Here is a 14,743-nt window from a genome sequence, read left to right on the forward strand (position 1 = left end):
GGGGTCTTTAACTTAATGACAATGTCCTGGAGGACTGGAGGCTTAGCTGATTTGTATGGATGGGTGTAAGTGCCCAGTATTCTCTCTCTCTCCCTCTGTATGTGTGTGGTAAAATTCACATAACATAAAATTAACCTTTTTTTTTTAGACGGAGTCTTGCGCTGTCGCCCAAGCTGGAGTGCAGTGGTGCAATCTCAGCTCACTGCAACCTCCACCTCTCCAGTTCAAGCAATTCTCCCTACGCCTCAGCCTCCTGAGTAGCTGGGATTACAGGCACCTGCCACCACGCCTGGCTAATTTTTGTATTTTTTTTAGTAGAGACAGGGTTTCTCCATGTTGGTCAGGCTGGTCTGGATCTCCCAACCTCAGGTGATCCGCCCACCTTGGCCTCCCAAAATGCTGGGATTATAGGCGTGAGCCACCACGCCCGGCCTTTTTTTTTTTTTTTTTTTTTTTTGAGATGGAGTTTCGCTCTTGTTGCCCAGGCTGGAGTGCAATGGCGCAATTTCAGCTCACTGCAACCTCTGCCTCCCGGTTTCAAGTGATTCTCCTGCCTCAGCCTGCTGAGTACCTGGGATTATAGGCATGCACCACCATGCCTGGCTAAAAATTAACCATTTTTAAATGATCAATTCAGAGGCATTCTAGCTTTTTATTTTTAAACTTTATTCTTTTTTTTTTTTAGACAGAGTCTCGCTCTTGTCGCCCAGACTGGATTGCAGTGGCACGATCTCAGTTCACTGCAACCGCCGCCTCCCAGGTTCAAGCGATTCTCCTGCCTCAGTCTCCTGAGTAGCTAGGATTACAGGCACCACCACCACACCTGGCTAATTTTTGTATTTTTAGTAGAGATGGGGTTTCGCCATGTTAGTCAGGCTGGTCTCGAACTCCTGACCTTGTGATCTGCCTGCCTTGGCCTCCCAAAGTGCTGGGATTACAGATGTGAGCCACCGCGCCCGGCCTTCTTTCTTTTCTTTCTTGTTGAGACAGTCTCACTCTGTTGCCCAGGCTGGAGTGCAGTGGTGCAATCTCAGCTCACTTTAACCTCCGCCTCCCGGGTTGAAGTGATTCTCTTGCCTCAGCCTCCGGAGTAGCTGGGATTACAGGCGCGCACCACCACACTTGGCTAATTTTGTATTTTTAGTAGAGATGGGGTTTCACCATGTTGGCCTCCAAGTGATTCACCCGCCTCGGCCTCCCAAAGTGTTGGGATTACAGGCGTGAGCCACTGTGCCTGGCCATTTTTTTTTTTTTTTTTTTGAGACAGAATCTTGCTCTGTCACCCAGGCTGGAGTGCAGTGATATGGTCATAGGTAACTGCAGCCTCAAACTTCTGGGCTTAAGCAGTTCTCCTGCCTCAGCCTCCCAAGTAGCTAGGACTATAGGTACACACCACTGTGTCCAACTAACTTTTTTATTTTTTGTAGAGACAGGTTTCTTGCTGTTAGCCAGGCTGGTATTGAACTTCTGGCTGGCCTCAAGTGATCCTCCTGCCTTGACCTTCCAATGTGCTGGGATTACAGACATGAGCCACTGCCTGACCCTGGCCCTTGTTTTTTGTTTTTTATTTTATAGTCTTGCTGTGTTGCCCAGGCTGGACTCGGACTCCTGGGCTCAAGCAGTCCTCTTGCCTCAGCCTTCTGAATGTCTGGGACTACAGGCCCGTACCACACCAAGCCTCTAGTATTATTTATTTATTTATTTATTTTTGAGACAGAGTCTCGCTCTGTCACCAGGCTGAATGCAGTGGCTTGATCTCAGCTCACTGCAACCTCTGCCTCCCCAGTTCAAGCGATTCTCCTGCCTCAGCCTCCCAAGTAGCTGGTACTACAGGTGTGTGCCACCACACCCAGTTAATTTTTTTTTTTTTTTTTTTTGAGACAGAGTCTTGCTCTGTCACCAGGCTGGAGTGCAGTGGCACTATCTCAACTCACTGCAACCTCCGCCTCCTGGGTTGAAGCAATTCCCCTGCCTCAGCCTCCTGAGTAGCTGGGATTATAGGCATGAGCCACCACACCTGGCCAAATCTTTTGTATTTTAGTAGAGACGGGGTTTCACCATGATGGCCAGGATGATCTCGATCTCTTGACCTCATGATCCGCCTGCCTCAGCCTCCCAAAGTGCTGGGATTACAGGGGTGAGCCACCGTGCCCAGCCACTTTTAGTATTTTTCAATACTAGTCATTAGTGCAAGATGGACTCTGGACACAGGCAGGAGGTACTGAGAAGAGATTAAGATTAGGAAAGGGGAAGGGAAGAGGAGCCTTACAAAAAGGCAGACAGCAGAAGCAACTGGCTAGACTCATTCCAATAGAGGTAAGCCCCCTGTTTGTCCCAACTCCTAGAACCGCTCCCATCCAACTCCCTCTGCTGACCTTGGCCTTCTATATTTTCTCTTATATTTCTCTCACCCTTGAAATTCCTTCAACTAGTTATTGGCACCACTCTGTCTTTCTTTCTTTTCTTTTTTTTTTTTTTTTAGACAGAGTTTCGCTCTTGTTGCCCAGGCTGGAGTGCAGTGGCACAATCTCGGCTCACTGCAACCTCCGCCTCCCGGGTTCAAGCAATTCTCCTGCCTCAGCCTCCCAAGTAGCTGGGACTACAGGCATGCACCACCATGCCCGGCTAATATTTTGTATTTAGTAGAGTAGGGGTTTCACCATGTTGGTCAGGCTCATCTCGAATTCCTGACCTCAGGTGATCCACCCGCCTTGGCCTCCCAAAGTGCTGGGATTACAGGCATGAGCCACCGCGCCCGGCTTGGCATCACTCTGTCTTTCAAGGATGAATCTTGACCTGGATGCTATGGCTCACACATGTAATCCTAGAAACTCAGGAGGCTGAAGAGGGAGGATCACTTGAGCCCAAGAGTTTGAGACAGCAGTGAACTGAGATTGCACTATTGTACTTTAGCTTGAATGACAGAGTGAGACTGACTCAAAAGAAAAAAAAAAGGATGAATCTTTCTCCAAACAGACAGCAGATGATATATGTCTTATGGACGGCCAAACCTCCAGCATCTAACAGAGTACCTGGAACCTAGTTTGTGAACTATAACTTTTTTTTTTTTTTTTTTGAGATGGAGTCTTGCTCTGTTGCCCAGGTTGGAGTGCGGTGGTGCGATCTCAGCTCAGTGCAACCTCTGCCTCCTGGGTTCAAGCGATTCTCCTGCCTCAGCCTCCCACGTAGCTGGGATTACAAGCATCCACCACCATGCCCAGCTAATTTTTATATTTTTAGAAGAGACAGGGTTTCATCATGTTGGCTAGGCTGGTCTTGAACTCCTGACCTCAGGTGATCCGCCTGCCTCGGCCTCCCAAAATGCTAGGATTACAGGTGTAAGACACCACACCCAGCCGCAGCCGTGAACTGTAACTTTTGTTGAATGATTACAGCAATTTTTATAGATCGTCCCTTGCCCTGACACGTGACTCCTCCCCTCTTGTCCATTTGCTATCATCATCAACATCATTATTTACAAACATCAGTCATTTTTCTGCCAAAGCAGTTTCTCAAAGTATGTAAGAAATTCCCAGGAAACTTGTTAACCATGGAGAAGGCACCATCCTTGGATGAACTAAATCATATTTCTGGAGAACCAAGGAATATGGTTTTTTATCATATATATATATATATATATATATATATATATATATATATATATATATAAATTAAAAAAAAATTGAGACAGAGGTCAGGCATGGTGGCTCAAGCCTGTAATCCCAGCACTTTGGGAGGCTGAGGTGGGCAGATCACCTGAGGTCAGGAGTTCAAGATCAGCCTGGCCAACATGGTGAAACCTTGTCTCTACTAAAAATACAAAAATTAGGCAGGTGTGGGGGCACAAGCCTGTAATCCCGGCTACTCAGGAGGCTGAGGTAGGAGAATCGCTTGAACCTGGGAGGCAGAGGTTCAGTGGGCTGAGACCACGCCACTGCACTCCAGCCTGGGCAGCAGAGTGAGACTCCGTCTCAAAAAAATAAATAAAATAAAATACATTGTGATAGAGTCTTGCTCTGTCTCAAGGTTGAAGTGCAGTGGCGCAATCTCAGCTGGAGTACAGTTGCACGATCTCGGCTCACTGCAACATCCACCTGCTGGGTTCAAGTGATCCTCTCATCTCAGCCTCCCGAGTAGCTGGGATTACAGGCAAGTGCTACCACGCCCGGCTAATTTTTTGTATTTTTAGTAGAGACGGGGTTTCACTGTGTTAGTCAGGGTAGTCTTGATCTCCTGACCTTGTGATCCACCTGCCTCAGCCTCCCAAAGTGCTGGGATTACAGGCGAGAGTCACCACGCCCGGCCTGCCCAGCTGATTTTTTTTGTATTTTAGTAGAGACGGGGTTTCACCATGTTGCCCAAACTGGTCATGAACTCCTGAGCTCAGGCAATCTGCCCATCTCGGCCTCCCAAAGTGCTGGGATTACAGGCGTGAGCCACCGAGCCCAGCCTATTTTTTAAATTTTTTCTAGAGACAGGGGTTTCGCTATGTGTCCCAGAGTGGTCTTGAACTCCTGGGCTCAAGCGATCCTCCCATCTTGGCCTCCTAAAGTATTGGGATTACAGGTGTGAGTTGCCGCACCTAGCTGGTTTAAGATTTCTCACAAGGTTGCAGTCAAATGGCCAGCCAGGATGTAGTCATCTTAAGGCTTGACTGGTGTTGGAGAATCTGCTTCCAAGCTCACTGTCATGGTTGTTGGCCAGCCTCAGTTCTTCACTGGTTTTTGGTCAGAAGCTGCTGCTGCTTTTTTTTTTTTTGAGACAGAGTCTTGCTCTGTCATGAGGTTGGAATGCAGTGGTGCGATCTCAGCTCACTGCAACCTCCGACTCCCTGGTTCAAGCGATTCTGCTGCCTCAGCCTCCCGAGTATCTGGGATTACAGGCACGTGCCACCACGCCCAGCTAATTTTTGTATTTTTAGTAGAGACGGGGTTTCACCATGTTGGCCAGAATGGTCTCCATCTCCTGACCTCCCACATTTGATCTGCCCACCTCAGCCTCCCAAAGTGCTGGGATTACAGGCATGAGCCACCGCACCCCGCCCCTCTAAAAGCTTCCATTTTTTTGCCATGTGGGCCTCTCCATAGTACTGCTTATAACATGGCACTTTGATTTCCCCAGAGCAAGAGATCCAAAAGAGGGAGAAAGAGAGAGCAAGAGAGACAGAGAGAGACAGAAAATAGGAGCCCCTAAGCCCACAGCTGCAGTCTTTTTTTTTTTTTCTTTTTTTTTTTAAGAGTCTTGCTGTGTCGCCCAGGCTGGAGTGCAGTGGTGCAATCTCGGCTCACTGCAAGCTCTGCCTCCTGGGTTCACCTGCCATTCTCCTGCCTCAGCCTCCTGAGTAGCTGGCACTACAGGCACCCACCACCATGCCGGGCTAATTTTTTGTATTTTTGGTAGAGACGGGGTTTCACCATGTTAGCCAGGATGGTCTCGATCTCCTGACCTCGTGATCCGCCCGCCTCGGCCTCCCAAAGTGCTGGGATTACAGGCCTGAGCCACCATGCCCGGCCAGCGGCAGTCTTTTTTTTTTTTTTTTTTTTTTTTGAGACGGAGTCTCGCTCTGTCACCCAGGCTGGAGTGCAGTGGCGCGATCTCGGCTCACTGCAAGCTCCGCCTCCCGGGTTCACGCCATTCTCCTGCCTCAGCCTCCCGCGTAGCTGGGACTACAGGCGCCCGCCACCACGCCCGGCTAATTTTTTTGTGTTTTTTAGTAGAGACGGGGTTTCACTGTGTTAGCCAGGATGGTCTCGATCTCCTGACCTCGTGATCCGCCCGCCTCGGCCTCCCAAAGTGCTGGGATTACAGGTGTGCACCACCATGCCTGACCTCCACAGAAAATTATAAGTCAGTTATTATAATCAGATGAGTCTTTGGCGAGCATGGAGTCAGAAAAGGACAAACGATTGGAGGTTCCCAGTTTTTGGTGGCCTATGGCTCTAAGGTTTTCCTTCATGGTCATTAGGAATGCACTTAAGGACTAGTAGTCACAACACCCCTGTTCAGGTGGCACTGAAGACCCAGAGATATATTACCTTTTTTGAGTAGATTTTATGGAGACACCAGACTTAGATGAATAGATTGTTTCTTCAGATGCTGAATAAAGCAAAAAAGTGGCAAAACGTTCCGCTTTCTTTTATATTAGTCTTCCTCTCAAAGCCTTATCACCATAAACCAGTAGCATTTTATTTTTTTTTAATTTTTATTTACTTATTTATTTTGAGATGGAGTCTCGCCCCGTCGCCCAGGCTGGAGTGCAGCAGCGTGATCTTGGCTCACTGCAACCTCTGCCTCCCGGGTTCAAGCGATTCTCCCTGCCTCAGCCTCCTGAGTAGCTGGGATTACAGGTAGGCGCCACCACGCTTGGCTAATTTTTGTATTTTTAGTAGAGACAGGGTTTTGCCATGTTGGCCAGGCTGGTCTTGAATTCCTGACCTCGGTGATCCGCCTGCCTCGGCCTCCCAAAGTGTTGTAATTACAGGCGTGAGCCACTGTGCCCAGCCTTAGAGCATCTTTTAGAGTATGCATCTTCCACACAGGAAAAACTATGCCATCTGTATTAATCTTGCTGGCTGCTCATAGGCAACTTTATTTCAAACTTTATTGTTGCTCCTCATATGACTATTTTATACAGAAAACTGTGAACAAGACTCAGTTTCCAAATTAGTGGCTTTTAAAGCCTTTTTGAGAAGACAAAGTTAATTCACCTGAAACAACTAATTAAGAAACAATTAGGCTGGGCGCTGTGGCTCATGCCTGTAATCCCAGCACTTTGGGAGGCCAAGATGGGCAGATCACGAGATCAGGAAATCGAGACCATCCTGGTTAACATGGTGAAACCCCATCTCTACTAAATATACAAAAAAATTAGCCAGGCGTGGTGGCAGGTGCCTGTAGTCCCAGCTGCTGGGGAGGCTGAGGCAGGAAAATGGCATGAACCCGGGAGGCAGAGCTTGCAGTGAGCCGAGATCGCGCCACTGCACTCCAGCCTGGGTGACAGAGCAAGAATCCTTCTCAAAAAAAAAAAAAAAAAAAAAAAAAACAACTAAACAGGGCTGGGCGCAGTGGCTCACGCCCGTAATCCCAGAACTTTGGGAGGCTGAGGCAGGCAGATCACCTGAGGTCAGGAGTTTGAGACCAGCCAGACCAACATGGAGAAACCCCCTCTCTACTAAAAATACAAAATTAGCTGGGCGTGGTGGCACATGCCTGTAACCCCAGCTACTCAGGAGGCTGAGGCACAAGAATCACTTGAACCTGGGAGGCGGAGGTTGCGGTGAGCCGAGATTGCGCCATTGCACTCCAGCCTGGGTGACAAGAGTGAAACTCCATCTCACACACAAAAAACAAAACAAAAGAAACAACTAAACAGCCAGGCACACTGGCTGACACCTGTAATCCCAACACATTGGGAGGCCAAGGCAGGAGGATCTTCTGAGGCTAAGAGTTGGAGAACAGCCTGGGCAAGATGTGAGACCCCCCAAGAACCCCCAAAAAATTAGCTGGGCATGGCCAGGCGTGGTGGCTCACCCCTGTAATCCCAGCACTTTGGGAGGCCGAGGCAGGCAAATCACGAGGTCAAGAGATCGAGACCGTCCTGGCCAACATGGTGAAACCCTGTCTCTACTAAAAATACAAAAACAAATTAGCTGGGTGTGGTGGTGGGCACCTGTAGTCCCACCTACTCGGGAGGCTGAGGCAGGAGAATCACTTGAACCTGGGAGGTGGAGGTTGCAGTGAGCCAAGATCGCGCCACTGCACTCCAGCCTGGTGACAGAGTGACACTCCATCTCAAAAAAAAAAAAAAAAAAATTAGCTGGGCATGGCAGTGTGTACCTGTAGTACCCAGCTACTCTGGAGGCTGAGGCAGATGGATCCTTTGAGCTTGAGAGATCACAGTGAGCTATGCTATGATCTGCCACGGCACTCTTGCTCACCGCACTCCACACTGCAGCCCTGGGTGACAGAGTAAAACCCTATTGTCTAACAAAAAAAAAAAAAAGAAAGAACATCTAAGAAAAGGTCCAGAAAAGGTCCTCTCTTTTCATGAACATGTGTGGGGATGTATAGTGATGCAATATTTCTAAAGGGCAATTTTCTACTGTATTTCAAATACATGCATTGTTTAACTCGGCACTTGAATTTCATGGAAACTATTCCACAGAAAGATTGCACAAAAGTGCAAAGGTACATGTACATGACATATGCAAGGGTGTTCATCATAATAATATGTAATAGTGAGAAACTGTAAACAACTTAAATATTATTTATTTTTGAGAAGAAGTCTCACTCTGTCACCCAAGTTGGAGTGCTGTGGCATGATCTTGGCTCACTACAACCTCCACCTCCTGGGTTCAAGCAATCCTCCTGCCTCGGCCTCCCGAGTAGCTGGGACCACAGATGTGTGCCACCATGTCCAGCTAATTTTTAAATTTTTGGTAGAGGTGGGGTTTTGCCATGTTGTCCAGGCTGGTCTCAAACTCCTTAGTTCAAGTGATTCACCCACTTCAGCCTCCCAAAGTGCTGGGACTACAAGTGTGAGTCACCGAGCCACGGCCAGAAACAACTTCAATATAATTTAAATAACAATACATTCATAAAATAGAACTGGTGCTAAAGGCTCAGTAAATATTTAGCTAGTGAGTGGATTAACATATTGTTACATAAAAAAAGCAAATCACCAATTTGTGCCCCTATATATTTTTCCATTCATAGAAAAAAGCGTCAATGAATACACACTAAAAGTAACAAGGGGTTTAAATCTGGGCAGTAGAACTATAATTTGCAGGCCTACTACTTTTTTTCCTCTAAACAGTCTTGTACTTTTTGAAATAATTTTTGTGCTTTGTAAAAAGTTATTTAAAAATAGCAAATATGAAGTAGCTTTTAAGTGGCAAATGAATGAAGAGTAGAGACAGTGATGGACCGTAGAAACGCAGAGCGGGATCCCTCTTGGCTAGGACAACCAAAGCCTTTCCTAGATTAAATAAGGCATGAAATGTTTTGAGGTTCAAGTATTCCAGGTCGACATATAGGCAGGAGAACACCTGTTGTCTTTAGGGAACAGCAAGGAGACCTGAAACAGCAAGAAACAAATTTGATAGAGAAGGCAACGTAAGTTTCTGAGTAGTAGCAGAGAGGGCGGAGAACGCGACATTTTCCGATTAAGTTTGCAGTACTGCCGCAATATGGGATTAGGTGAGGATTAGCGCTTGGAGCGCAAGTGCCCACTAGGGGGTGGTGTTTCAAAACATATACAGGCCCACTTGGCCCCACTTGGACTAAGGTGAAAGGAACGTACAGCAGGTAGAACGTCAAAGAGGACGTTCCAACAGTTGGACAAGTTAACGACAATAAAATACGCAAATGTTAACTTTCCCCCTAACTGCTGAGCGCTCCCTAAATCGGTATCCCAGTGTAACGCAAAACTAAGCCCTACAGGATGCCTGCAGCTAGTGCCAAACGGTCCCCACTTAAAGGGACTACTACTCCCAGGAACCTTCGCGCGAGGCCAGGGCCTTCTTCCAGGGTGCAAGTGGGTCTCGCCGCACGGCTCTCTGGGATTCGTAGTCTTGCAGTGTCATTCGGGAGTTGTAGTTCCTTTCCCACAATCGGCTGGGCGAGGCGGCGCCAGCGATCAGAGCAGCGCTGGGTGTTCAGGGGCCAAGATGGCGGCGCGCCGGGGACGGAGAGACGGAGTCGCGCCGCCCCCGAGTGGGGGCCCCGGTCCGGACCCTGGCGGGGGAGCCCGCGGCAGTGGTTGGGGAAGTCGAAGCCAAGCGCCGTATGGGACTTTGGGCGCTGTGAGCGGCGGCGAGCAGGTGAGAGGTTGGCTGGCGGCCCGCGACAGGCAGCAAAGCGGTGTGTGCCGGGCGGTGACACGTGGACGCCACAGGAAAGAGAGGAAGCGCCTGAGAGTCGATGCCGGGTGGCCGCGGGAGCCGGGCCGGAGCAAGTGGGCCCTAGGCCGTTTGCTGGGGGTAGGCGGGCAGAGGCAGCGTCTCTACGGCCATTCCTGGGGGACGCCGGAGGGGGAGAGCGGGGTGTCGGAAACATAACCCGCGGCTGGGGGTCAGGGGTTCGGACTTGGGGTCGAAGGCTGAGACCTCCATGTAAGGATGCCCAGTGAGGCTCCCCGAGCCCGGCGCCGCAGTTCCCTTTTCGGAGCCACGTGGGGTTGGGGGAGCAATTTTCCCGGGAGAACTTGTCTGCCTCCCCTCCCCCTCTAGGCGGCCCGGGCATCCACGTGGGTCGGGCTCCTGGTGGAGGGGGGCGCAGGCAGCGGGTCCACGTGGGGGCGGGGAAGGAACGTCCACGTGGCTCCCGTCCCAGGCTGTCGGGCATCTAGTATCGGCCTTGGAGCCTGGCTGACGCGAACTGGGTGTGTCTCCACGGGTCCCGCCATCTCCTGCCGGGGCTGGAGGCCCGGGCCGGGAAGGAAGGTAAGGGCTGCTAGAGTCAACTTTGTTCAGAGCCTTGGAGGTTTTTTTTTTCCCTGCTGCTTGGGTCCGCAACGTCTCTCCACTGCGGATGGTGAAGGACTCTCCAGATGTTGCGGGAGTTTGTTCCCTGCGGATGGCTGAGTGTGATGGGGAGGGTAGAGGGCTGAGGCTGAAGGGTTGTGGAGGAGTGAGTTTGTGGCGCTTCCGTCTGACCGGCTTGGGGTGGGTTGTGAGTCACGGGCATTGGCGTTTTGGTTGCCTTGCAGTCTTGCCTTATTAGTGATTCAAGGGGTATGGGGAGTGTCAACATACACCTGGGACAAGGTTAAGAAAGGGAAAGGGAATCCTCTCCTCACTTTTTCCTCCAGCATCTCTTTTGGGAAGGCATGCTCCTGTAATCTGACACGCAGAAACTGGGGTGGTCCGTACTTAAGGCTCTTCGGATTTTTTGCTGGGGATGGGAAAAGTTGGAGGCGGTTTGAGAACTGTTCAACATGTTCAACAGTTGAACATACACTGGATGAGGAGGATTCTGTTAGATATTTTTTTCTTGGCCTTCAAAAAGTGTTATTGTTCTACTCTACAGTGGAGGGCTTCTTAAAAGTTTCCACCCAGGGTAGAAGGGGCAGGAATTAGTTTGAACTGTTACCTCTCTTAAACAATTAAGCTGAGTCCTTGACAGCATTTTTTGTGTGTTACTAGGTGGGAGTTGGGCTGCAGGCTGCCTGGTAATATCAGGTCCGGCAGACCAATCCAGGCCCTTGCCCAGGGGAGAATGGTTTCTGGGGCAAGAATTTGGGAGCGCTGATCCCTTCTCCCCTACTTTCTCAGAGGTCACATCTTTTGGGGCTGGTGCTGCCTACCTACCAGAGCCCCAGGGTCTAGGCCAGAATCTCAAGGCAATGCCCAGCTCTCTATGAACCATTCATCTTCACCTCCATCAGGTGTCCAGTCAGAGACACACCCTCACACCTGACCTCACCCATCACTGAATTCCCAAATAGCACAGGGAGAGTCAGGAAGGATCCAAGATCCAGCTATAATAGTTAAGTAGTAATTTGGGATTGGAGAGGATCTCATGGAGAGATTGTCATTCCCTTCCCCCGAAAACCAAAGATGGGTATATGTGAGCTGGTCAGTCAGCCAGTTATTTATTGAAATACCATTATGTTTAGGCACAGGGGACAAACTGGTAAACCACATAAACATGGTCTTTATCCCTCAGGATCTATGTTTTAATCAGGATAGACCGATGATAAATAATAATGAATGAGACAAAAGTGCAGGATATTTGGGATTATGTAATTGGCAGTAGTGATCTACTTTGCAGAGTCTGAGACGGGACATTTAAAGCTGAGATGTTAAAACTGTGGAAAACCTTTAATCAGGGAAAAGTGAAGCCCTCAAGGAGGAAGAGAGCATGGCTTATTGGAGAAACCGAGACCTGTACTACAGAGTAGTGGGAGAGGACACGCTGGAGCAGAGGTCTGGTGGGGAAGACAGGACTTTTGTAAGCTATATATATATATATTTTGTTGTTTTGTTGTTGTTTTTGAAATGGAGTCTTGCTTTGTCACCCAGGTTGGAGTGCAGTGGTGTGATCTTGGCTCACTGCAACCTCCATCTCCTGGGTTCATGCAATTCCCCTGCCTCAGACTCCTGAGTAGCAGGGATTACAGGCAAGCACCACCACACATGGCTAATTTTTGTATTTTTAGTAGAGACAGGGTTTCACCATATTGGTCAGGCTGGTCTTGAACTCCTGACCTCAAGTGATCCACCCACCTCAGCCTCCCAAAGTGCTGGGATTACAGGCGTGAGCCACCACACCCGGCCTGTAAGCTATATTAAAGAGTTTAAACCTAATGCTAAGAGCAGTAAAATGCCATTGAAGGGATTTAGGGAGGGTCTCAGGCAGTGATCAGATACATATTTAAAAAGTTTCTGACTGTTTTTGAACCCTGGAGGGAGCAGGTTTGGTGGGTGAAAGCTACTTGGGAGGTTTTTGAAGTTAGAGGTGCTGATGGCTGGCTTACTTTCAGCCTGGGCTTAGCACTCGGATGATCTTGGTACTCTGGGAGCTGTGCTGTTTGGGAATTGAGTGATGGGTGAGGTCAGGTGTGAGGGTGTGTCTCTGACTGGACACCTGATGGAGGTGAAGATGAGTGGTTCATAGAGAGCTGGGCATTGTCTTGAGATTCCAGCTTAGTCGCTGGGGCTCTGGTAGGTAGGTGGTGGCAGAGCAAATGGAGTTGCAGCCTCTTGGCTCACCCTGGAGTGTTTGCAGAGCCAGGTGCTATTCAGCTGCTGGTTTGTAATTATAGGATTGTGAAGGCCTGGGAGGAGTTAGTGCCTAAAACCTACCACTTTTTGCTTATTCTCTGGGCCTGGCCTCCTAACGCGTCCTTAACCAGCCTTTCCTTTTCCTGGGCGTTGGTACTCAGCTCTGTTAGGAGGGTATATATTGCCGGGGTGTGGGGGGTGGGGGTGTGGAAGACACCTGTTGCTTTTTTCTTTTGGAAGTGGTGCGGAATTTCACTTTGTTGCAGAAGAGGAAAGGGAAGGTCTGGCCTGTCTGTATGTGATCCTGTTCTCAGGCCTTTTTACTTCATGTTTCCTATGCGGTAGTTTCCCCTTATCCACAGTTTCTGTTAACCTGCTGTCAACTGGGGTCTAAAAATACATGAGTACAGTACAGTGAGATATTCTGAGAGCCAGAGAGCCCACATTCGCATAACTTTTATTATAGTATATTGTTTTAATCTATTTTATTATTAATTTCTTATTGTGCTTAATTTATAAGTTAAACTTCATCGTTGGTATGTATTGTTTGTATCAATACATACCAATGTATTGGTAGTATCTGTGGTTTCAGGCATCTACTGGGGATCTTGGAATGTATCCCTCTAGGATAAGGGGGGACTACTGTAGTGGAGATCCCCCTGGCTCTGGCCTCACCACTACCATTCTGGTCCCTTCCGGCCCTGCCCACACCCACACTCTTGACAGGTCTGGGCGGGCTGCTTGATGCCTGACACGAGAGGCCGTAAATGCTGCTAGTTCTTAGAGGAGTGTGGGGCGGGGCCTTTCCATCTAGGGAATCAAGCTTTCTCTTCACTTGCTCTCATCTGGTAGGAGTGGAGAAGAGGCCCTTCCCTTGGAATTACCATTGAGAGGTTGAGTGTCTCACTGTTGGGCCTTCAAAATAAGTGTCGGCCGGGCGTGGCGGCTCACGCCTGTAATCACAGCACTTTCAGAGGCTGAGTCGGGCGGATTACTTGAGATTTGGAGTTTGAGACCAGCCTGGCCAATAAGGTGAAACCCTGTCTCTACTAAAAATACAAAAATTAGCTGGGCGTGGTGGTGGGCGCCTATAATCCCAGCTGCTCCGGAGGCTGAGGCAGGAGAATCGCTTGAACCCAGGAGACCGAACCCATGAGTGTCATGGGGATGGGGGTAGGGGGTGGGGTGTGATTACCAGAAAAGTTAATGCTGCAGAAAAGTCTGTGATTTTAGAGTTGTGAGGAGAGATCACCGTGGGCTGGGGAAGCTGGGGTGTCTTCTTGAAGAAGGTAGGATTTGCACTAAGCAGAGAACTAAATGGGATTTGAGGTAGGTGAGGTTGTTGGAGCTGAAGCTGTCTCCTTGCTGACCTCTTTTGCTTTGGTGTGCCCCTCAGACTGTTATCTTCACTGCTGCCAGTAGATGATTCTGAACAATCTTGATTTTCCTGATGTTTTTACTCCCGGGTTTTAATCTGTGACTCTAGCTGTTTCTGGTTGGAGCCCAAACATTTTTCTGCCCCAGAAGGTCCCTGAAAACTGCCATCCTTATTGGGGTTTTTGCTCATAGGTTGTGCTTCTCTCTGCTCTGCTAGCCCAGAAGTTTGGCGACAGTGTTGCTGCTGCTGAGTTTGGCCCCAGCAGTGGAGGGTACCTGATTTATGGAGCATATTATCAGCTGCTGCCAGAGAGCTCATACCCTTCTCACCTTCTTCTCTGCTCCAGGTGCTGCTGCATGAGGAGGCGGGTGATTCTGGCTTTGTCAGTCTCTCTCGGCTGGGCCCATCTCTGAGGGACAAGGACCTGGAAATGGAGGAGCTAATGCTGCAGGATGAGACACTGCTGGGGACCATGCAGAGCTACATGGATGCCTCCCTTATCTCCCTCATTGAGGATTTTGGGAGCCTTGGAGAGGTGAGCTGGGGCTGGACTCTGAAATCTTCAAGCAGGAGGTTTACATGGGAGGTTCTAGCTCAAATTCTTGGCATGGCTCTGCTCTCCCAGGACCTTAGCTTCTTC

The 14,743-nt window shown here is 49.2% G+C and overlaps 1 protein-coding gene across 25 annotated transcripts in view, besides 5 other annotated features; it reads left to right on the forward strand.

The window, feature by feature from the left end:
- Window positions 1–14,743, forward strand: part of PPRC1 (PPARG related coactivator 1) — a 30,445-nt gene that overhangs the window by 3,512 nt on the left and 12,190 nt on the right. For 16 of the 25 annotated variants that reach the window (NM_015062.5, XM_017015982.2, NM_001288727.2 and 13 more), the window contains exons 1-2: window positions 9,640–9,821; window positions 14,450–14,638. In NM_015062.5, the coding sequence (NP_055877.3) occupies window positions 9,669–9,821; window positions 14,450–14,638 (342 nt within the window). In that variant the 5' untranslated portion in view covers window positions 9,640–9,668. Of the gene's footprint in view, window positions 1–2,113; window positions 2,317–9,639; window positions 9,981–10,342; window positions 10,443–14,449; window positions 14,639–14,743 lie in introns of those variants that run through there. The other 9 variants (XM_047424879.1, XM_024447914.2, XM_047424878.1 and 6 more) reach the window with 5 other exon arrangements.
- Window positions 3,959–4,789: an enhancer, noted in NCBI's record as "H3K27ac-H3K4me1 hESC enhancer chr10:103887116-103887946 (GRCh37/hg19 assembly coordinates)". NCBI's record gives its function as "activates a minimal SCP1, AML or CMV promoter by ChIP-STARR-seq in naive H9 embryonic stem cells {active_cell/tissue: H9 hESC(naive)}" and the evidence as "EXISTENCE:reporter gene assay evidence [ECO:0000049][PMID:30033119]".
- Window positions 9,463–9,742: an enhancer, noted in NCBI's record as "active region_3922". NCBI's record gives its function as "activates an Ori minimal core promoter by ATAC-STARR-seq in GM12878 lymphoblastoid cells {active_cell/tissue: GM12878}" and the evidence as "EXISTENCE:reporter gene assay evidence [ECO:0000049][PMID:35858748]".
- Window positions 9,723–9,902: a silencer, noted in NCBI's record as "silent region_2748". NCBI's record gives its function as "represses an Ori minimal core promoter by ATAC-STARR-seq in GM12878 lymphoblastoid cells {active_cell/tissue: GM12878}" and the evidence as "EXISTENCE:reporter gene assay evidence [ECO:0000049][PMID:35858748]".
- Window positions 10,113–10,162: a silencer, noted in NCBI's record as "silent region_2749". NCBI's record gives its function as "represses an Ori minimal core promoter by ATAC-STARR-seq in GM12878 lymphoblastoid cells {active_cell/tissue: GM12878}" and the evidence as "EXISTENCE:reporter gene assay evidence [ECO:0000049][PMID:35858748]".
- Window positions 10,193–10,312: a silencer, noted in NCBI's record as "silent region_2750". NCBI's record gives its function as "represses an Ori minimal core promoter by ATAC-STARR-seq in GM12878 lymphoblastoid cells {active_cell/tissue: GM12878}" and the evidence as "EXISTENCE:reporter gene assay evidence [ECO:0000049][PMID:35858748]".

Source organism: Homo sapiens, chromosome 10, assembly GCF_000001405.40.
Source record: "Homo sapiens chromosome 10, GRCh38.p14 Primary Assembly".
NCBI lineage: Eukaryota > Metazoa > Chordata > Mammalia > Primates > Hominidae > Homo > Homo sapiens.